Consider the following 23,950-nt stretch of genomic DNA (forward strand, 5'->3'; position numbering starts at 1 on the left):
CAGGCTTCACACCCCCACCATCAAGAAGAACCCCCTCCAGTCCTATTACCTGCCCTCTTCATCCCACCCTGCTTCTTTCTTAATCTGAACTCCCACTGCTTCTCTCCACGCCTGGTTTTTCTCTGTTCCTTTAGGGACCAGCTCCCCTATGCCATCAAACTCCTAATGGGAGGCTCCCTCCACCTCCTGCCTCCTGAGGTGGCTGATTCCCTTAAGACATCTCAAGAGGATGCTCCTCAACCTTCCTTTTTAGGTACCTCATGGCCTGGTGGTGGTGAAGACATTTTCCTACCGTTCTAGACCACCTCCAGGCCTTTTCTCCTTCAGTATTGCATACGCATGCCCTCTCTGTTTCTCTGATGCTCATGCTATCAGTCTAGACTACCTTCTACAACACCTCCCCATATGTCTGTGCCCATATGGCCATGGCCCTCATCCAGTGAAGATGTTGACACTATTCTCAGTCTCTCACCTTTCATACTGTCCTAATCACAGGTGACTCGATGTCTACATAAACTAAGTCTAGTGAGAGGGCTTCACATGATGACTCACAGAGCTTGACATGTTCCCTGCATTTGAAAGCATTGTGGACCAATGACTACATCACACCTGAGAATGTTGAAGAGAAGCTGGCTGGCGCTGTGGTCCTAGCCCAGGGGGCTGATGTAAAACCTGCATCATGAAGTTTGCCTGAGGCTGTGTTAAAAAAGATCCTGCCCCAGACATTTCTGCCAGAGAAAGAGGCCTCCCTGAAGGTCACCAGGGAGGGTGGAAGGTCACTGCCCAAGTCAAGGAAGTGGCCACCAGCAAGACCCCACAGGATAATTTCCAAAGGACCCAGAAAAGTTCCTCAGGGGACCAAGAATCAGCTTTGGATGCAGCCAGGCACAGAGAGCACAAAGCCCTCTGATGACAGCAGCAGTCAAGCAAGAACTCTGTCTTCTTCCTCCTCCTGGTTCCCTGTACCCCAGCTCCAGAGAGACCCCAATGTGGATAGCAACCTGGGGGAGGAGGAGGAATAGCAGACAAGGATAGAAAGCAGAAGGGCTGGTACCTCTGCTGGACTTCCTACTTGAAGCAAGCCCACCTAGGGAGAAAAGACTTAACTTGAAATCTTCTTGGGAATTTGGGGTTTTTTTATTGTTATCTAGGATTTTAATTACTAATTTTCATGTAATTATTAAATTGACCAATGTTTACCACTTAATGTGTCAGTCACCTGTGAGTCATCACTAACATCAAGGGACTCGAGTTTCCAAATGCAGGCAGGAAAACCTCTCCCCCTGTCCCCAGTGGATTACCGGTTGCATGTAAGGAACAGGAAAGACCTTAATCAGATTGCTATTATAATTCTACCCCAAGACTCCTGCTTGCTCAGTGGGCCAATAACAACTCTTTTCTACATGAATCTAATATCTCTTTTCAGTGCATACAATTCAGGAAGAACAGAACCCTAGATATTATTCTCCTAAATATTTTGGGTTTGGATTTTAATAGAGTCCCTAGTTTCCTCTAGATTTTTCTCACTTCTTGTAGCTCGACCACAGTCAACACACTGTCGAACAACACCACCTGACTCTACATTCCAACCCCACCCAAAGACACACACCTGCTTTCCAAGTTGAAAGTAGGGGAGCAAGGTGGCCTCTTATTTCTGGAAGAAGGTCCCAGAGCCAATGAGCACAGAAAGCCCAGCTAGGTGAGGGATTAAGATGAGAGTTTCAACAACAGCTTGACAGAAAGCATCACATCATAACAACGGGTGTATTTTAAAGGTACTTGCTTATGTATTAATTGTCTCTCTCCAGCCCCATCATAACCAGCTGAGGTGGCCAGAGCAGGTATTTTTTATACCAATTTAAAGAAAAGATGAGGCTGAGACTGCATGGTTTAGCCAAGGTCAGAATATTGCAACTAAAGTCCAGTGTGCAGACATAGCTACCAGGTTTCTGGGCTGGTTTTGAATGCACCCTACTCTCCAGAACGAAGTTCAGTGTTCTTTCTCTGCCTTGTAAGTCCACCCATGTTCCTACCAAAAAAAAAAAAAAAGAAAGAAGTTTCCTTCCCATTTGGCAAATAACTCTCAAAAACTGTCCCAGTGCTTTGCAGTGCTGGGTACAGTGAAAAGATGCCACGTGGACCAAAGGCTGTAGCCCTGCCTGGTAACAAGAGACTGCATATGGGTAGACACAACTCAGCATTTGCACCGCAACTTACCAAATGTACATGGTACAAACTGAGCTCCCTAATACTGCAGGAATGGATGCGTCAGCATCTCAAGTCAGATGGGTAAATCAGGAAAGAAAAAGCACCAACCTTAGGCCAGGCAATGTGCTGGCTTCTGTTCAAGCTTCCCTTTGTAATCTTCACATTGACAATGTATGGAGATACTGTATCCCTGTTTACAGAGAAGGAAACTGAGGCTCTGGGAGGTTCTTTGAGGTCCAGGGTGGCTGCCCCACAGTGATCCTTTTCTATAGCAGACTCCATTGTGCTCCCAAAAATGGTTGCCACATACCCAGACATTCCTCTCTTTTCTTTGGGCAGAAAAGCAAGCCAGGGTCCTCATTGTGATCGCCTGGAGCCTGTCTTTTCTGTTCTCCATTCCCACCCTGATCATATTTGGGAAGAGGACACTGTCCAACGGTGAAGTGCAGTGCTGGGCCCTGTGGCCTGACGACTCCTACTGGACCCCATACATGACCATCGTGGCCTTCCTGGTGTACTTCATCCCTCTGACAATCATCAGGTAAGAAGCCGTCAGGACAGGACCACACGGGGGGGTGGGGCGGGGGGGGCTTTCCTGTTTCTCCAGCTGTTGCTCTCCTCCCCAACAGACCCATTTTTCCTAGTGCCCTTGAGGGAACTGACCAGGCCACAAGATTTTATGTGTAGCTACCATAGGCTAAGCCCAATTTCTTCAAAGTAGAGTAAGGAGAAGGGAATTAACAATTACTGGGTATATAGGGCAGGCATTGTGCTAAATAGCTAACAATTATCACATTAGCCACAGTATAACCCTGTGAAATAATTTCCATTGCCCCAATTTAATGAATGATGAAACTCAAGCTCAGAGTGATTAAGTAACTTATTCAACATCAAACAGGATTGATATCCAGGTTTTTCTGAAATCATACCATATTATTTCTTTTATATCTCGCAGCCTTCCAAATATAAGGCAAATTACCAGTTTCAGGGATTTTGTAAATGAAAAGATAGACATACTTGAAACAAACTGAACACAAAACTCAGTATGCACTAATATGCTAAACTGTCTATGCAGTGGAGTCAGATAATGGCAGGGAATATATTTTGGAAGCCACCATTGAAGGAGGAAATGATTCAGGTAGGATAAGGGAGAAGTGGGGAGGAAGCAGAGTCTGTGATGACCAGAAATCAGAGTGAGTGTAGAGGCAGAGTGGACAGGTACACAGTGCCAGTGGGACAGAAGTTGGCAGTGAGCTCCTCCCAGTGACTGGGGGAGGCTCAGTTGTGAATGACCTTGGCAAAAAAGTCATAGGAAGTCCTTTGTCCTGCAGCCAATGGTGAGCTGTAGAGGGTCTTTCAACAGAGATTAGCACAACAACCTGGTCAAGGTAGGGTCTCACTTGGCCATGCCATGTGGCAGGATCACCCTCTGAAATGGGCTCTGCATGTGTAGATGGGGTGGGAGACTACAGGAAGAGACCTGGCACATTGTGTGTATCCTTGAGCCATGATGATGCTGCACCTTTTGGGTAGGTCTAAGCCTGCCATAGTGTGTCATATAACACATTGTAAGCAAAGGAAGATTATCAGCCTTTGTTTTTGATAGTGTAAAGAGAGCTGTGATAAAAATCCTTGTACTTAAAACTGTACATGAGTCTCTGGTTATTTCCTCATAACTCATTCTTGTGGAATTACTAGATCAAAGGTATAGATCAAAGATGATGCACATTTTAAAACTTTTGATGCAGAGTCACAAGCTGCCCTTGAGAAAAGCTGTATTGCTTCTTGGCCTGTTAGCTAAGATCACTTGTAGAAAAGGTATATTCTGGGCAATACCATACAAGGGCTCTTGTTTTCTGCTCCCCTGACCCAATGGAAGGTAGCACTATTACCTTACTAAATCTTTGCCAACCTAAGAGTTTAAAAAGTATTTCATTGTTTTAATATGCATTTCTTTAATTACTAAGCTGGTGGCATGTTTTTCAAGTGTTTTCTGATACAGTGGGAGTCACCTTTTCCTGCTCATTATTCATCTTTAGTCTAATAAAATACTATAGCTGGGAGAAACGTTATCCATCATATGGTCAAACCCCTGAATTTTTCATAAGAGTAGAATTAAGACTAAAAGAAGTTAACTGCCTTGCCCCCGCCCCCTCATCAGAGATTGAGATGGGCAAGCACATAGTGACCTCAAAAGCCAACCCAGCAGCCTTTCCAAAATGGGGTGTTGTCCAGTCATCTCTGCTGAATGGACAACTTAACACCAACACTTTATTTTGACTTATTGCCCTCCACTCCATCAAGCTGAGCTTGAGAGAAAGTTTGAAGGAGAAAAGGTTATTTAGACAACTATCCAAGGTAAGTCACAGCGCATGGGAAGGGGCCCATGGCAGAGGAGACAGGCAAGTGAGCCACAGCGGTCAGAGAGCATTTGGAAGAAAGTGGCTTGTGTCATCCTGAGCAACTGAGGCATCGATTTCAGTGGCAGCACATGTCCTGGCTTCACTGCTGATTGATTTCCCATCAACTCAAGAAATGAACTCCAGTCAAAGTCCCCGCTCAGCAGAGTGGATGCTGCAGCACATGGACCACGCAGCTCAGGTTATCCTGTATCTATGATTTCCCCATTAATTTGGGCTGCTTTTTCCACCAGGACTTCTCCTCAAACTTGCCTGTGGGCTAGCTAGTGTGTCTTTTTCGTGTCCTTGAAAGGGCAAAATACAATGTGTTTGCTGATTGAGGGAAATGATTTCAAAAACTGGTTTCCCTCAGCTCTCACCAAGCTAAAGCCTCTGGAAGGCCAGATCCTAGCTCCTTGCTTCCAGCCCGTGACGGTCATGAAAACTCAGCCATGACCTCCAGCCATCCTTGAGCTTCTCTGAAGCATTTCCTACCTGACAAGAGGCTCCTCTTCCATCACCTTCCCTCTTTCGTGGCTCCCTGCTGCTGAAGAAACAACTTCTCTCTTGGGGACTAACATCCTCTACCTCCTTCAGCAACAACTATCTTCTCAAACAAGACCAGGCCCTGGGGGGGCGAGTTTTGTGAGGAACTTGTTTCCAACTAGTACCTGGCATAGGTGCTACAATTTCATCTCAGATATAAGGTTCAACTCTTATTCTGTCTTTATTACCTATATTCTGGCCCCCTGGGCTCAATTCTCTGAGTAAGGTTAAATTCTTCATTTCAAGCTTAAATAGACAAGGAAAACAGCTCAAGGAAAGTGTTCACTCGTGTTCACCATGCCTCATTCTCCTTCATGCATGCTATATATGCTACATTTACCAAATTGACAGAAAAAAAAACATATCTTAGTTGTTTTATTTTGCATTTCTTTCATTACAAATGAGATTGAATATATTTTATATGCTTTTTGCCATTTTTGTTTTTTTTAAAGTACTTATTAGGTTGGTGCAAAAGTAATTGCGGACTTTGCCATTGAAAGTAATGCCACTTTTCTTGTTTAAATGTTTTTATTTTCTCTATTCTCTATCTTTAGAAATTATTCATACAATAACCTTTTTCTTTTTGCATATGTTGCAAATATTTCTCCTAATTTGTCATTTGCCTCTCTATTGAGTATGGTTTTATTTTGTTTTTGATTATTAAAAGTAGTGATTGACGTAATTAAGAAAAAAAGAAAAAGCACAAATAACTAACTCAGTGGCTTTTCTGCCACAAATACCTCATTGTTTTACTTATTGCCCAGCTTCGTATGCATTTAAGTATCTGCTAGGACAAGATCTACTTGTTTTTTTTCAAAGATTCCCTGGCTGCTTCATGGTGAGCTGCTGATGCCTCACCTGCACTCCCAGCTCCAGCCATGGAACAAACACCCCTCTGGCCCATGTGCATCACTCCCATGCCTGAACACTCTGCCAAGCTCACCTTGCCTTGTTTCACCCAACTAGTTCACATCCCTTGTGTCTCATTTCCAATACCAACTCCACAGTAGAGCTTCCCTTGCCAACCCTGGACCAAGAGGCACCTCAGGTCCTCACTCCCTAACCTCCAACCTCACTTTGTCCATGTCGTCATCTAGACTTCATGGCAGTTTGACTGTATCTCATGAGTGCAGGGACTGTGGCCTCTTCATTTCTGGATTTCACATCCAGCACACACTAAACAGTTGGTGAATATTAGATTGAATGAATAACGCAATAAATTGCACCGAACAACAGATGTGTCATGTCACTCTCTCTACTCTTTCTCTCCCTCTCTCATTCTCTCTCTCTCTGTCTCTCACACACATCACACACACACACACACACACACACACAAACACACGTGTACACATACTGCTAATATAGAAATTTCTGGCTATCTAATGCCTAGATCAGTTTTTGGCATATGATAGCTCCTCCATAAATATATGTGAGAGGAAAGAAGAAAGGGAGAAAAGAAAGGAGGGGGGAAGAAAGGGAGGGAGGGAAAGAGAGAGAGAGAGAGGCAGTTGTATTGTTGGTGGCAAACTCTCATGAGAGCTGCGTATGAATAAAGATGTAGCTGTTCCATCATCCACTAAATCAGGCTCCCAGGAGTTGAAACCATAGTGACTGACAGCAAAGGCAATACATTGTTTTTCTGGGTCAAAACAACAGGAGTTGTTTTGAAATTCACTTGACATAACTGTCTAATTGTTGCTGGGGAGGTTATTAGCCCTGGTGTAATTGCTTTACTTTAGCTGTGCTTATTTTCTTGCTACCTAATTGATTTTTCATTCTCTTATCATTTTCATCTCTGTAAGATAAAGATAGAAGCAGAAGAGATTCACAACCGACAATTGCAAAAAAAAAAAGTGGAAAAAGCACATTAGTCATGGATCATTGATTTGTCATATGTGAGAAAAATTCATTTATTTTGCTTAGGAAATGGGATCACATTGTGGGAAAGCCCCATGCCAGGTTGGTGCAGCCCTGTGGATAGAATACATGGCCATGGTGGGTAAAAGCGCCCCAGGGACCTGGCCAGCACTGGCCATGGGCATAAGGTCCAAGGTCAAAGAGGATCACAGGGCCCACAATAAAAGTAGTCATCAAAATGAATAAAGAGAGATTGTAAGGGTCTCCACTAATGCTGAAAACCTGGATGGAGAGGAAGGTACAGATTATGGAGTCATTTTGCAGGGACAATCCACAAAACTTATCTGCAATCTGATTGATCAGATAAAGGAAAAAGGAAAAGAGACAAAGCCAAGTGTGGTGACTCACACCTGTAATCTCAGCACTCTGGGAGGCCTAGGCAGGTGGACCTCTTGGGCCCGGGAGTTCAAGACCAGCCTGGCAGCATGGTGAAACCCTGTCTCTATAAAATATACAAAAATTAGCCGGGCATAGTGGCGCACACTGGTAGTTCCAGCTATTCAGGTGGCTGAGGTGGGAGGTCAAGGCTGCAGTGAACTATGATCCTGACACTGTACTCCAGCCTGGGTGAGAGAGCAAAACCCTGTGTCCAAAAAAAAATGGGGACACACAGCAACGCAGATGTCTCTTTGATGCTTGATCACTAAGCTCCAAGAAGTAGTCTGATTTGGCAATAATACCCTAGTTATTAGGTGTTCGCCATGCTAACAGAAAAGCTGGTACTGGTTCTCACTCATCTGATTGGCCCTAAGTAAAAAGAGGGGTGACTTAGGCCCAAATCCCTAAAGCATAAGACATTTCTTAACTTTTCCCCTGTGTACATGGTTGATAACCATAAATATTTGAATTATTGGTCAATTAAATACTGGGGTTGCAATTGACATAACCATTAACTTTCCATGGTGAGTGTAACCTTACCTTGCACAGTATTTCACTTTCTGGGGAAGAAGTTTCCCTGTTCTAGCAAATAGTCAACTTAGGGTTGAACTCACTAATAACATTTTTCTCATTTTTTCTTTACTGCAGGCATACAAATTGCAAAAATAGTCCCTGGGCAATTATATAAGAAAGAATGGAGATGCTCCAAAAAAGTCCCTGAGCTTTCCTGGAGCACTTGGAGGGGTTCACTCAGCAAGAATGGGAAAAGGCAGTAAGAAGCAGAGATTTTAACATTGCCATTAATTAAGTTATATTCTAAAGATCATTAAAAGCAATTAGTGCTTTGTCGGCTACTGCAAACTGAAGCTCTGATTTTTTAAAATAATTCTCAAGAGGGAAGATACACAGTTTTAAAATAAAGCATTGCTTTGTCCCAAAGTTTTTAGTCAAGATGCTTAATGTAGTCAAAATATCAAGTAATATTAAAGAAGAGTAGTTTTTATATTTATCAAAGAGTACCTAGGATAGAAAACTTGCTGACACTTTTGAATCCTTAACACTTTGTTTTCCTGTTAGGCACAGATTAAATCATGTAAGAATTGGTGTGATATAGTATAAAAAATAGGCAAAAAAGAGGAGAAAGGAAATTAGTCTCTACTAATTTTCCAGCACCGTACTTGGCACTTTAAATATTGTCACATCTGATACTCAAAAAGTTCGAGAGGTCTGTATTGTTAACACCATTTTGTAGAACCTCAACTGAGGCTCAGTGTAGTAGTTATCTATTACTGCATTACAAATCACCACAAACCTAGTGACTTAAATCAAGATACATTTGTTATCTCACAGTTTCTGTGGGTCAAGAATTTGGCCGTGGCTTAACCGGGTCCTCTGCTCATGCAAGGCAGCCATTCAAGTTGTTTATCCAGGGCAGGGGTCATCAGAGGCTGGACTGGGAGAGGCTCTTTTCCAAGCTCCCTCAGGTCCTTAGCAGAATTCATTTTCTTGCAGCTGTGGGATTCATGGCACCTTGCTTCTTCAAAGCCAGCAATGCATAGAGACACCAACAAGACAGGCACTACATTCTATGTAATCAGTCCCATCCCCTTTGCCACATTGCATTGATTAGAGGCAAGTCACCTGCTCTTCCCACACTAAAGGGGTGAGGATCAACAAAGCCATGAATGCCAGAATCAGGGATCATAGATGTCATTTAAAAGACTGTCTAAAGTCAGGACTGTACAACAGACAAGTAGAGGAGACCCAAGTTTTTCTGACTCTAAGGCCTGTTTTTGGATTCTAATCACAGCTCTCCCTCAAACCATTTGGGCTACCTTGAGGAAACTGCATAACTTTACCAGGTCTTAGCCTCCTCACTTAAGAAAGAAGTAACTCCATCCAGTGGATCCTCATGGTCACTTTCAGTTGCAATTCTATGAACAGCAAGTATAAGGGGGCAGGCATGGTTAAAAGATCTGTCCCTTCACACCTTGCACTCGGGGAGGTGGGAGTGGTCTTCTCTGTGTCCTCACAGTAGGGATCCACCAGTCACTTTAATACTACCTTTGGTTCTTTCTGCAGCATCATGTATGGCATTGTGATCCGAACTATTTGGATTAAAAGCAAAACCTACGAAACAGTGATTTCCAACTGCTCAGGTAAGTCTCTACTCTGCATGGCCCAATTCTTGGCTAATTTGCTTCTCCAGAGGTTTTCTTCTAGCAAATGTGAGCTAGGGACTCCTTGATACACAAGCATACAGGATCATATCAGGACCCAGCCGGCAGACCAGACCCACCAAAGGCTGTCACAGGCGGGCTCTGTCTTCCCCCATGTGACCTCCCTGAAATCTAGGAGAAGGAAGGGGGCACTTTGGACCTGGTCAAGCTATGCCAGCAGAGAGTTAGCCTTTGACCTAGGATCCAAGGGTTACCCCAGCCTCAGATCTAGCAAAGAAGCACCTTGGAGGACACAGATAAGAAAAGACAGACTGTCCAAGGAGGACATCACACCTTCAGCAAAGATGAGCATAGGCTTTTCTGATTGGCTTGAATTTTCAGATACATAAAGCTGCCATCTGTCCATAGAACAATCTTGGACCCTTAGCCAGTAAAGGCACGGTAGTCCATGCTTTCCCAACTGACACACCAATTCAAACCAGATGAAGCCTAAGACCACCTACTACAACTCTTCCCCACATTCCTTCTCAGTAAACCTGAATGCAGAGCCTCTCGTATGCAATAGACTCTGAGCCCTGGAAGCCTACCCTGCTTCCCAGGAAAACATTACTGGACCTGACCAAGGTCAACCTGGAGAAAACACAGCAAACCAAGGGGCCAAAAGAAGAAAGGGCTTCTAGTTTTCTGTTGCTATAATGTGATAGGTCTGCAGAAGAAGACTGGCTCCGCTCAGCTTCCACACCCCTCCCATTCCTTGTGCACACACATACACACAATGTAGGCTCATATACACAAATACACACACCTTCACACACTCAGTCTCACACACACTAACAATGCATACTCACACTTATATGCACTCACACAAGGACAACAAGCTATACCACAAATATCTGGAATAAGAAGAGCTACTTTCTGTTCCAGATGTACCACTAAGAGCTGTGCCACCTGGCAAAGTTATCTAATCCCTGGGCTCCAAGAGGTTAAAATAAGGGGATAGACTGGATTCTCCCTAAGCCCTCCTCTTTTCAGACTGTGAGCTAAACTTTTGTTGGACCAAGACAGAGCTTGTTTTCTCCCTCTTAAAGCTACTTTTTCCAATAAGACTGTGAGGCCACCAAGAGGATGCACAAGTATTATCGGGCACTGATAACTTGTGTCTCTTTCCCTAGAAGTATGAGTGGAGATACATAAGTCTGGGTTCTTCACCTGAATTCAGTTCAATTCTTCTGTACTCTTCTGCATGTCAGGAGTGGTACAGGGACTGGAAATGACAAAGAATGAATAGCATGGTTCCTGACTATAGGCAGCTTACAGTCTAGGGCCTTGGGTCTTGGCCCTGGCTACACAGTAGAATCGCCTGGGGAGGTTTTACAATGCACCGAAACCCAGACACCATTCCCTGAGAGATTCTGATTCACTCCATCTGGAGTGGGGCATGGATTTTATTATTTCGGAAAAGCTCTTCAGGCATTTTTAATGTTCAACCAGGTTTGACAATCTGGTCCAGTGAGACACAGAGTCATAGGTGGCTGACCTTCACACTGACTGACCAGTGTAACCAAGAGATGTGCTTAGGCTGCTTGGAAATTTTCAACCCACGAAGACCCAGTCATTCAGCTTGGGGCTAATTCCAGCCCCCATGCAGATCCTAGTGCTTCCCTTCCACTGGTGCAGTCTCCACACCCTGGTTTTTCTGGAAGAGCAAAAGCAATCAGAGAGAATAAACACAAGTGAATTCATTCTATTCAGTGCAGTTGGCTTTGGTTAAAAGTTAGAATATTTGTCCAAAAAAAAAATTGGATGAAGACATCCTTCCTCTATCAGATATCAAATAAATGCAGTAAGTACTATAATTATAATACTAAAATCATTGAAAGAGAATTATATGGACAGGGAAATCCAACAGAACAGAAATGCCAAAGGAAACCTCAGGAATTTAGAATGTGATGAAGTATTTTAAACTGATAGAGAAATAGAAACTGTTTAATTACTAATGTTGAGACAACTGCCCATATGGAAACAATCATATATTAGATTGTTGTATCATATGCTACAAGGAAATACACTCCTTATGAAACGAAGAACAAAAGATAGAATGAGGGAGAAAGAAAGAGTGAGAGAGAAAGAGTGAGGAAAGAAAAGAAGAAAGAAAGAAAGAAAGAGAAAGAAAGACAGAAAGAAGAAAGAAAGAGAGAGAGGGAGGGAGGGAGAAAGGAAGGAAGGAAGGAAAAGAAAGAAAGGAAAGGAAAGATGGGTAGAAGAAGAGAGGCGGGGGGGAAGAAAGAGAAAGAAAAAAATATAGGAAATATTGTTTATATTCATGAAAAACTGAAAAGATCTGAATATCCTACAATGAGGGAACTGAGCATAATAATTATATAGCCATACAATTAAATGCTACAGCTCTAAAAATTATTATAGAGAGTGTACTTATTGCCATAGAAATATTTCTCCAATATAGTACATTAAGAAAAAGAAAGCAGTATGGTATCCCTTTTATAGATATGTGCACATATTTTTACTTAGCGGAATATATATGTGCCTGTATAGACAGATGATAGCTAGAGAGAGAGGGAGATGGAAAATATCAAGAAGCTAAATGTTATCAATGTTATTGCAGTTATCTCTGAGTGGTCGAATTTTAGGTGATTTTTGTTTTCTTCTGTTTTCCACTTAGCCATGTGTTAAAATTCTCTACAGTTACCTAAATCATACAATTGAAACAATTGCCCTGTGGCCCTTTAGCCTGAGTAAACAGCCAATATTATCCTAGATGTATATATGTATATTCATTTTTTAAAACCATCAAGTCAGGCCCCACAAAACATATATTTGCCATGCACTTCTCTGTATAAATGTCATGCTTAGACCCTCTAAGGCCCACTCAAAGCCATCGTCCACTCATCTCAACACAGACAGACAAGTCAGAGGGACAGATGGAGCAGCTCCTGTCTGCCACTGCTAGGTCCTTTCCTTGTGTTCTTCCCTTTAACTCATTTCCTGTTTGCCCCATTTCACCCATGGCCCATTGCCCATTTCCCATTTAACCCATTTCCCGTTTGAGAATACTGCACAGGCAGTGAGTTGCACTTTTTTTTCTAAACAGTAAATGGGTTAATCCACAACTCTTTGAGGTGGTGTTATTAACTGTCTCTCACAGACAGAAGACAGGCTCTAAGGTTAAGCAGTTTGCTTGTTTTCACAGGTAGCATGTGACACAACTGGTATTCAAATGCACACATATCGAATGCACACATAAAGACAAGACTTTTTAAAAATTAAAAACACAAACTCAGGGTCTTGGGTGTGGCTTCCTTTCCTGGACACTCCCTCCAGAGCTCTGCCTTCAGAGAGCTATTCCTACCTCATCTCTTGAAGGTTTTGTTTTGATATATTTAAAATCTAAAGGCTGAGTCATGACTGGCAGTGTGGAGACCAATTTTGTGGAGGTAGCCAAGGTCTTCCTGTACTTTCAGACGAATCAGATTGGTGTAAACCCCTGTCTTGTGGTTTCTGCCAATTCCATGGGTCTGACATGCTCCTCCCTGCTTGTCCCTCTGAGCACTCACTCTCACTGTCTCACCTCCTACAGCTCTCCTGTTCCCTCCACAGCAGCACCGCCCTTGCTCACCACCTTCCTCAGCATGCCTCCCCCCAGGGAGGCTGACTTCCTGGCTCTCTCCAAAGTTCCCATGTCTCCTGCTACTACATATGCCAGTCCTTGCACTCTTGGGCTCCCCTGACTTCCAGTCCTTGAAACTGTACAAAGCCACTTGGAGGTCTGTTTCCCACTGATATAGAGTATGCCATTACTCCCTCCCAAAGGTGGAAATGGCTACCGCCACTTTTTATTCTTTAATATAGTTTTATATCTCCATTATATCTATTTTTCAGTTACCATTAGTGACCTCATCCCGAAATGAGGGCAGCTGGTATTCTCAGAAGCTTATATGCTCTCTATATCTTATTCGTAAAAGGAACACAGTTGATTTCCCATCTGTCATTACAGCCAAGCAGCTCTGGAGTTGGCAGGTAAATCGGATCTCCAGCTGGGTCCGCATGCCAGGATTATTGCTCATCAACAAGGGGACATTAGCCATGATTAGTGTGAACAGAAGCTCACTTTGTAAACACTGGCTAAAAAGCTCAAGCCATCCTTAGTGCGAGAACCACTCTTCTTACTGGCAAATATGTCTATTTTCTCCCAGTCAAAGGCTGACAGAAAGGAAAAGAAAAAGAACTGTATCATAAATTATCTAAAGACTTTCCCATAAACAAGCATGGAGGGCAAGACGTGGAGGAGATGGGGTTTCCAATCCTGTATGTTATCTTTCATAAATGAGCATATTATTGATGTCCAGGAGGATTTACTTGTACAAACTAGAACATTTACTGCATGGGCAAGTGTACCCATGGAACAGACAAATTTCTCGTTATAACTATGTCTAGCTATCATGGCTTGGTGGATATGATCCATGCTATATCCAAATTCCATGTTTTTAATTAAATGAGGCATACTAGAGTGAAGAAAAAAAGCTATGGATTAGGAATTGGGTTAGAGCCCTATTCACTTTCTAGCTTAAAAAATTTAAGAGAAGCCCATTAACTGCTGTCCATATCAGCTTCTTCATCAGTAACTGTGAATAAAATGGCTTCTCTACAATTAACTACATTTAATAAAAGATGTGACAGAAAAACATAAAGATACAAATAAATGAAGATTATGACATGTTCGTGGATAGTAAGGTTCAATATCATAAAGACGTTGAATCTCCCCAGCTGATCTACAAGTTAATAAATTTCCAATCAAAATTGAATTGAAACATTTTATTGAGCTTCACAAGCCTATTTTAAAATAGACAAGGAAAATTCAAGAGACATGAGTAGCCTAGACATTCCTAGAGATGCAGAACAAGGTAGAGAAAGTTCGGTTTACCAAATATTGAAATGCATTGTAAAGTCAGAGTGCGGTATTGGCACAATAGACAAATGGAAACCTCAGTTTCCTTGCTACCTGCTGCCTGCCCACAAATCCAATGCTACATGTTTCAGGTTTTCATTAAGACAGCACTGCATATGAGGTACCAATCTCTACTTTAGAAGGGAAACACTAGCAGCTGTGTAAACCCAAAATATCAGTAGCCTTAACCACATAGAAGTTTATGTCTTAATTAAAATCCAGTTGGCAATAAAGACCAGAGGGAAAGGCATTGTTCCACACAGTCATTCAGAAATTCAAGCAGGTGGAGATTCTGCCACGCTTAACAGAGGGCTGCTAAGGTACTCCTCAGCACCTCCCTCCAGCAAGCAGGGGCAGGGGAAGAGAGAGAGTGGAGGACTGCTCAGGAGAGGTATCTGAGCAAGGTTTGGGGTGGTAGACATTGACTCTTCCCAGCGTCCCTTAGGCAGATCTTAGTCACATGACTACACACTGCTGGAAGGCAGGCTGGGAATTGTAGTCTAGTTGTGTGCCCTGGGGAAACAGGAATGGGTTTTGTGAACAGCTCGTCTGTCTTTGCATAATTATTTTAGGTTGTCAGGGCTCCTGCTTCTGCTTGAGCTGAGGTGCTGAGGTATAGAAAGGGCTATCTGGTGGGTTAGGTGAAATCTTCTCATATCTAGCTACAATTTACAGTTGGCTCTGGGCTAAAAACCTCCTGAAAGGGAATGCAAAATACTTTCCTACTTGAAGGTTCAGAGATATGCAGCCATGCCCAGCTAATGGGGAGAGAGGGAGCACCTCAGATGACAAGAAAGGGACAATAAGATCCCTGAATGTGAAAACATTCTGGAGAATACAGAGTCAGGCACAACGAGTGCCTTAAGGTCAAAGGGAAATGTAAGTTCTGGGTCACAGAAGAACATTCCCACCTAACCAGTCTAGCCACTTGTCAGCATCTAGGGAGGAAAACGCTGTGTGGTGGGCTAAAGAAGCTGAAACTCTTGGGAGTTCAAGAGAGTCTGCTGCAAGCTCCTGGAATAGCACAGCACAGAGGAGAGAGGCCATTCCCTTGCTTCCTGGCAGAAGAACTTGGAGAGCAGGTATCCCCGGGAAGAGCAGCAGTGCTGAATAACCCACAGCCCAGGGACAGAACTGAGGCCCTGAGAGGTGGAGCAGAAGAGCAAAGCAACTGCTCAGGGTCAAGAGCAATAATGAAGAGGACTCACAATGTGGCTTTGAAGTGACTGTGGCTGTGGAGCATCTGCTGCCCAGCCGGAGCCCCTCAAGAGGCAGTCATTGGCAAAGAAGAGGTCTGGGTGAAGTGACCTGGGGCAGCCCAGGGCAGCTGCAGCGAGCCTAGAAAGCAGGATCCAGAGAGCGTCACCATAGAGGCACAGGCGGTGGCCTGGGTGGATCCTGGAACACTGAGACACCTCCTTGGGTCTCTCAGAAAAACTAGAGGGACAAAGACACCCTGGGAAGAAACTGACTGCAGTCCTGCAGCTAAACAGATGAGACCTAATGTGCTTAAAATACTGAACTGATGAGTTCAGGGGGTATTCAAGCTATATTAGTAAAGAGAATGTTACTGTTCAAAATGAATTTCAAGTTTCAAGAATTTTAGAAATCAGGAAAAACTGCTAAAAATAATGTTGAAGTTTTTAAAAATCAACCTAACATACACAAAGTTTCTAATATAGGAAGCATATTTATTTTAAAATATTGCCAGTTAGACTTCCATGTTTCTAAACAAATCACCTGCACTCTTTATAGGTCCACAGATGAATTCCCCCCACTACCTCCCAGGAAACAATTCTGCTTCCATTTGAAATCCCAAGGTACCAATTGCTCCCACTTCAGGTGCTCAGCCTGCATGAAGAATGGGTTCCCAGTGGCTCTGTAAGAGGCCTGTGGTCTTGGGAAGGTGAAGAGCCAGAAATGGCCATTTGGAGACTAAATTTTCAGCATGTGTCCCCATTAGGGATATACTGTGGAACTAAAACAGTCCACATCAGTGTGCTTCTCCCAGTCCCAAATCGAATGGACGTGCCACTTTCAGGCTACCCAAGCCCGATTAATGCACAGTGACAGCTGAATTTAACTGCTTTTCACTGCAGCTCAGCACCAAGGCCTGAGTAGAAATAATCCTTTTATCTCCCAATAAAGGAGAATTACCAGCATTTCGTAGCTCAGCTCTCTCTGAAGGGCCATCTTTAGAAGCTAGAGGCTTTGCATTTCCTGGAATGGTCAGATTAAAGATGCTTTTCACTGATCTCTGGGCAGGTAGATGATTATACTGTCACCCAGTTGCCCTGTGGGAAGCACTGCGGGTTTCCATTTTAAAGGGATTTCAGAGCACAAATGTCATTCTCGAAAACTTTTCTGAAAGACCAACTTAGTCTTCAGAGCCATACTGTTTAGGGGCCAGCTGTTGCCTAGGAACAGCCAGTGGGGACACTTTGAAAGAATATAATTTGGTCTGCTGTCTTCTTTACTTGCAGCCCATGGGTATAATCTCACCCAGATCATTTTCTGCTGTACATAATTCTTACACAGATAACAACCTTGTATAATAGACAATCAAACGTAATAATACCTTCTGTTCACTTTCATAAAGATGGCTCACCTTCCACCTGAAATACTGTTAAAACTGCATTCATCTCAACTGATAAGATATCCAACATCCAAGCTTGGGGCTTGGTTCCTTGAATATATTATTTTATGTTAATCTTCAAAGTAACTCTGTGAGTTAGGTGTTCTACACCTCAATTTTTAAATGGGAGAACTGAAGCCGGGAACTTTAGACGATTTGCCTAAGTTTACAAAGTTTTAGTAATTGGTAGAGACGGAGGATGCATTCCAGTCTGATCTTAAAGCCTGTGTCCTTCCCAAGATCCCATCCTAGAAATCAAGGTTTCTCACCTTTGACACCTTTGGCATTTTGGACTGGATAATTCTTTGTTGTGGAGGCTGCCCTGTGCATTGAAGGATGTTTAGCAACATTCCTGGTCTCTACCCACTAGACGCCAGTAGCACACATGCACACACAATTGTGACAATTAAAAATGTGTCCAGGCTTTGCCAAAAGTTCCCTGTAAAGCAAGATCACCCCCAATGGAGAATCACTGCTCTAAATGTTCTGAAGCATTTGCTTTCTTACAAGGCGGAGGTTCGTGGTCCCATGAAACGCACAGAATAATTTGAAGACCCTAATAGTAGTTAGGAGTGGCCTTACAGGGTATGCTTTAAGAACTATGAATTAATTATAATTAGCAGTTTTCCTTTGTACTTAAAGAGCCCCTATTCCTGTTACTCTTGAAAATCATTTGTCCTCTGCAATGAGTAAATGTTCACACTACAAAAACACTCAGAAACTTCAATGGCCTGCGGCCGCCTCAGGAGTTCAGCCCAAGCTCCTCAGAAAGACATTCAAGGCCTCCCCAGTTTGCCTTCAGTTCTCTCCTCCACTCTCCACGCATTTGTAGGCTACAGCCAAGCAATATGACTCACTGTGGTTAAAACGCATCCTACATTTTCTTGTTCCATGTCTTGGCTGAGGATGTTCACTCTCTGCCTCCCACCTCTCCTATTCCCACGCTGCACCCCGCCTTTGTCTTGGAATCCTTCTTATGTCATTTGAGTTCACTTGATGCTCTCTGCATCTCCCACACAGCCTCCCCAGCACAGTGGTGGAAGGATGGGTCTCTCCTCTGTCCACAGTTGGTTTCTATCTGTCTTAGTCCATTTTCTGCTGCTATAACAGAATACCACAGACTGGGAAATTTATTTTTAAAAAAAGAGATTTATTTGGCTTATGGTTCTAGAGGCTGGGAAATCCAAGAGCAGGGCACTTGCAACTGGCAAAGGTCATCCCATGGCAGAAAACAGAGGGCGAAAGCGAGCACACAAGACAGAGAGAACGTCAAGCCAAACTCGTCCATTCCATCAGAAGCCCACTTCCACAATAACACAATAATAGCAATAATCCATTCATAAGGGCCAAGCCCTGGTGGCCTAATCACCTCTCAAAGGCTCCACCTCCCAATACTGTTACAATGACAATTAAATTTACACATGAGTTTTCGCAGGGACATTCAAACCATAGCAGCATCTCGCTCATCTCAACCAGTTTTATGGAGAGTGTGTGATCTTTCATGCTGGATTGAAAATTCTTAGAGAACAAGTACTATATTTCAGCCCTTCTAGTCAGCCCTTATCTCTTAGCAGATGTGCTATACTTGTGGGGTTGGACTAGATCAGATTGGAGGTGGGATTGAATGAATATTGCAAAGGTAAACATCTGACTGGTTTCCATGGGCATTAAAATAAATTTCAAACGTGAGAGCTGGGCAGTGCAGTGAAGACAATGGAGCACAGCAGTTTGCCTTTCTAGTGCACAGCTGCCCTACTCCATGTGACTTCGACGCACTGAGTGGGCCTCTGACCAGGGCCACCACTAGGGTTGTGCCCATTGAGCCCCACTGGGTGGCTCCTGGCTGAGAGTTGTGTGGGGCTGGCATTCTCTTCATATTTCCCTCACTGAATGTGTGCTCTAGGCAGGCCTGTGCTTATCAGAGCAAGGGCCCCTTTTCCAAAACTTCACAAAGGTGGCATATGGGCTGGTGGAAGCCCTGACAGTAGAAACTCTTCCATGAGGAAAGGGACACCACATCTGACATTTTTATCCCCAAATTTATAGGTAATCACTACTTTAACTAAGACCTATTGCACTGGATCCTGCCTAGCCTAATCTTATCTCTTTGTTTTACCACTGCTCGACTAATGAGACGTGGTTATTGATTCATTCAACATATTTGTGTTAGTCATTGAATATGTGTTTAGGCTACAGGAGTGCGAAAAACAAAGCCCCTGTCCTCATCAATCTAGTAGATTCTTATATTTACCCCTCAGTGTTCACCATCAGACAACAGTCTACATGAAAAAAATGTATATCCAAGCTCCTATTTTGGAGAGTTCTGATACCCCTGGCTTGAGCTTTTCTTGAGAGCGTTTTTTTGTTTTTGTTTTTTTGTTTTTTTTTTGATGAATGTATTTGTCTGGGGCAACCATTTTAGAAAGTAACTTTGCCTAGGTTGCTAAAGTGGCCACATGGGTGTCTCAGCATAGCCAGGGCTTAGAGAGTAGCACTCCTCAGGGAAGCCCTCAGCTCCTGCATGGTCACATAGTCTAATTTCAGCTGCAGCTGTTCAGGCCATCTGACCAAGTCTCTTGAGAGAGTCTGAGCATTCCATACCATTTTCATATAATATTAAGGTGTAAACTGAGCATTCTCCAGAAACCAGCCCAGAACCAACTTTAATCTAAAAATTTCCAAGGAAGGCCATCTGGGCATAAATGCACAGGATATAAGTGAAAACTGGAGTCTAACCTTTAATGTTCCTATTGGCTGAAACAGAAACTGTCACATCTTGAACACTTCATCTTACTATTCCCCTCTTGTATCTACAGATGGGAAACTGTGCAGCAGCTATAACCGAGGACTCATCTCAAAGGCAAAAATCAAGGCTATCAAGTATAGCATCATCATCATTCTTGGTAAGCAATGTCCCTCCTTGAGCTGTAAAGTGGTATGAACGTCCCAAAAGCAAGTTTGCTCCTGGGACCTGGTGACAGAAAGGAATTTGCCAGCAGGCACTTCTACATCGGTCTGCTTAGAAAGGAATGTGTGAAACTCATCAGCCCATTCATGGTTCCTTCAAGGGCTGACATTTGGTTCCTAATCCCTCTCCTTATGAATACAGCTGCCTGCCAAGGCTATGGGTTGAATAATTTGGAGAAAATCTGATTAGGACCTAACTAGCTGAAGTGGATGCTCACATCACCAGCTAACTCAGTCACTTCCTTTAAGACACACTGTTCCCCAGGGCTGGGGTTCACAAGGAAAAAGAAGATAGAAGTGACTTTCCACCTTATCTGAATATTTGATGTTAGGTTCACTACAAATTTCCCCCTTATGGCACCTTACCTGTCCTTCCACCCTCCTGTCTTCTGCCCTTTCCTTTTCCTTTCTCTCTACTCTTAAGACTCATAAAGTCACCTTGTACTATTTCCTGTCTGAAATGCTCTGCTCTCCGGTGGTGCCCCGGCTTACTTCCTAATCTCATTTGTTCCCCAACAACGCCACCTCCCTGAGGGCTCCTTGATAAGTCTTTTTAAATATCCTTTTTCTAGTCTTTACTCTGCCTTATTTTTCTTCTTGGTTCTACCTCACACTACAGGATATAGATTGATTTTCTTATAGTCTGTCTCCCCTGTTGGAGTAATAAATCTATGAGGGCAATGACTTTGGCTTTTGTGTTACTTATATTATCACCAAGACCTAAAATAGGGTCTCCTACACACTGCTCAATTAACATTTGTCGAATGAATGAATGAATGAATGAATGAAACTATGCAAGAAGGAAAGGGATTTGTGCTATTTTCTTTTTTATTTAGCTTAAATACCCCCTCCTTGCCCCTCTGGCAGCTCTTGAAGCTCCAAGGAAGTATAGATCTCCCATTAGCTGCATGTCAAAGCACCAGAACAGTCTTCTCACCTTTCTGAAACGCAACTGCAAAATGCCAAACAGACCACATGCAGCATGACTCAGCCAGCAGGACGTAGGCACAAAACAACACTGCAGGCGGAACTGGGATAAAACATATACAACCCACCAGGGCTCAAAAACTTTCTGAGAGGCTTCTGAAGTGGATCAAAGACTCCTCTGTCTTCTCAGATAGTCAGAAGCACAGATGCACCTTCCCTGGATGTTGAGTTGGAAAATGTATGTTTACAAGTGTGTCCCAGAGCCTGCATAGCCCTTTATCATCAGCAACCATACTCCAAGGCCCTGTGGGATCCCTTCAGTCAGCAAGCAGGAACACCCTCTAGAGGGTCAGCAAATATTGACAGCCCTACCAGACCAAAAGGGCCCTTTCTATAGCAAACACTTTGTAATGTCCCTTTCCCACCTTGAAATAAAATGCCTACTTATACTACCTACCATGATCATTTAAACATTAATATATTGCCCAAAAAATAATATAAAAGAGGAATAAGAAAATAATCTAAAATGAAACAATACTATTTTTATTAATTAAAATGTATACCAATTTTAATGTGTAAAAACATAAGCACAGCTACACTAGAAGAATAATGAAGTAGTCACACCTACACCGTGACATAATAACAGCCACAATGAAAACCAATACAGGTGTATTTTCATGGAGACATAAAAAAATGTAAGCGGTATTACTGTCAGTGACTTGATTTTCTCAGCCGGCAAAAAGAAAAAATCCTTGTAAAATTTTGAATTAAACAAAGTAATCTTTCCTCCATTTACAACAGAATTGCATTTCTACAAATTTCAATATTTATTTAAAATACCTGTGTTTATGTGTAAAACAAAGTCAGGGATAACTATATAGAGGGTTCTCCTCTACATGAATGGACATTCAAAGTAGATACAAATCTTTGCTGGCTGGGCTGCGTGTACCATGCCAGAGGACTGGTATCCCTGTGAAAACTTGAATCCTCCAACCCAACTTACACACACATGGAAACACCCAAGCACACAAGGCCATTTGCCCCCTTAGTGCCCCAAATACTGTTCAGCGCCAGTGTTTGGGTTAATTAATCAGGATCCAGAACACTTAGTGGGTTTTGTGTTTGAATTGCTCCTCTTTAATACATTGCCAAGGTCTGGGGTCGAGAGGGGAAACATGAGTCAGTTTATCATTCCAAAATTCCCAACAAGTTACAGAATCCACATTACACAGTTATGACGGAAAGCTTGTCCCTGCATGCAGACAGCCAAGGAAGCCAAACTTCTACTCCGAGAAAAAATTCTATGGATGAGAAAGTGGGAGAAGGAGAGTGGAGAATTTATGGTGAGAAAATGAGAGATGCGTGTATTTCCAGTCAACTTAGGAGTGTTTAGCTCTGTGTCGTAGTCTGTGCTTTCCAGAGGAAAATGAGAGAGAGAGAGAGAGAGGTTTATTAGAAGGAATTGGCTCAGGTGATTACTGAGGCTGAGAATTCCCAAGCTGCAGTTGGAAGCTGGAGACCCAGGAAAGCCAATGGTGTAGGTTCTAGTCCAAGTCTGAGTCCAAAGGCCTGAAAACCAGGAGAATGGATGGGGTACATTTCAGTTTGATTCCAAGTGTGAAGGCAGGAGAAGACCAACGTCCTAGCTCGAAGACAGGCAAGCAGAGTGAATCTTCTCTTACTTAACCTTTTTCTATGACTCAGGCCTTCAACAGATTGGATGCGGCCCACAAACAGGGGAGGGCAATCTGCTTTTCTTACTCTACCAGATCAAATGTTACTCTCCTCCAGAAACGTCTTCATACACAGCCAGAATAGCGTTTAACCGAATATCTGAGCACTCCGCAGCCCAGTCAAGTAGTCTCAAAATTAACCATCACACCTGAATCCCCACCTTTCATCCATTTCTTTTGAGAATTTGGGGCCAAATAAACTGGTGTCTCACACATACTAATGGATTTAGAGAAGGGCATAGTGTGGGTGTTTTCTGGAGAGGCCAACTTAGGGGTGAAAGAGAACACTGTCATTAAACTGGGGTGTGCTTAGAAAATATTGTGATCACCCCTTCTCCCTGACATAACCTAAAACCAGTAGTCACTACGTGGTCAAAATGCTTCCTGTTCTTCTGTCTTTTCCTAGAGAGTCTTCAAAGTATTTTGCTGTTTTTTCCTGATCCCTGTGTTTGATGAGAGGCTATGGCCATAGTCACTTGTTCCTGGGGTTTCTATAAAGAATCCACAGCAGTAGAAATTTGACCCTTCTTTACAGATAGAGAAGCTCTACAACCTTTGCTCAGTTTTAGGAACATGTCTGTAAGATGTGTCCATATATATGTGTGTATGTGTTTAAGTGAATATGACATCAATGCTCCAAACAACATCAAACTCCAATATTTCTGAGAAATTCCAGGTCCCAAAGAACCTCTCAGGTAAAAGTCCAGTCAGGACCAACCAAAAGAGACCCCTCAACTGCTACCTGCTGTGATGCTAATGGCTCTCTTCTCCCCCAGCCTTCATCTGCTGTTGGAGTCCATACTTCCTGTTTGACATTTTGGACAATTTCAACCTCCTTCCAGACACCCAGGAGCGTTTCTATGCCTCTGTGATCATTCAGAACCTGCCAGCATTGAATAGTGCCATCAACCCCCTCATCTACTGTGTCTTCAGCAGCTCCATCTCTTTCCCCTGCAGGTAAGGGGAGCTCTTGCATGGGTCAGACACACTGATGGCCATTGCACTGGGATTCTGCCAACATGTGGGTTTCTCATGTCCAAACTCTCCAGCAGGTTACAGGATCCCCCTTTTATAGATGAGAGGCTTGAGAGTCAGAA

General features: G+C 43.1%; 1 protein-coding gene and 1 long non-coding RNA gene across 6 annotated transcripts in view; one reads left to right on the forward strand and one right to left on the reverse strand.

Moving 5' to 3' along the window:
* NPSR1-AS1 (NPSR1 antisense RNA 1) overlaps positions 1-9,478 on the reverse strand; it is a 487,820-nt gene extending 478,342 nt beyond the window's left edge. Inside the window, exon 1 of the long non-coding RNA NR_015356.2 lies at positions 9,308-9,478. This is a non-coding gene — a long non-coding RNA (NPSR1 antisense RNA 1). The remainder of the gene's footprint in view (positions 1-9,307) is intronic.
* The window catches only part of NPSR1 (neuropeptide S receptor 1), a 220,115-nt gene that overhangs the window by 166,636 nt on the left and 29,529 nt on the right, over positions 1-23,950 (forward strand). For all 5 annotated transcript variants that reach the window (NM_207173.2, NM_001300933.2, NM_001300935.2 and 2 more), the window contains 4 exons: positions 2,548-2,749; positions 9,531-9,607; positions 20,043-20,129; positions 23,630-23,810. In NM_207173.2, the coding sequence (NP_997056.1) occupies positions 2,548-2,749; positions 9,531-9,607; positions 20,043-20,129; positions 23,630-23,810 (547 nt within the window). The remainder of the gene's footprint in view (positions 1-2,547; positions 2,750-9,530; positions 9,608-20,042; positions 20,130-23,629; positions 23,811-23,950) is intronic.

This window comes from Homo sapiens, chromosome 7, assembly GCF_000001405.40.
Source record: "Homo sapiens chromosome 7, GRCh38.p14 Primary Assembly".
Classification (NCBI taxonomy): Eukaryota; Metazoa; Chordata; class Mammalia; order Primates; family Hominidae; genus Homo; species Homo sapiens.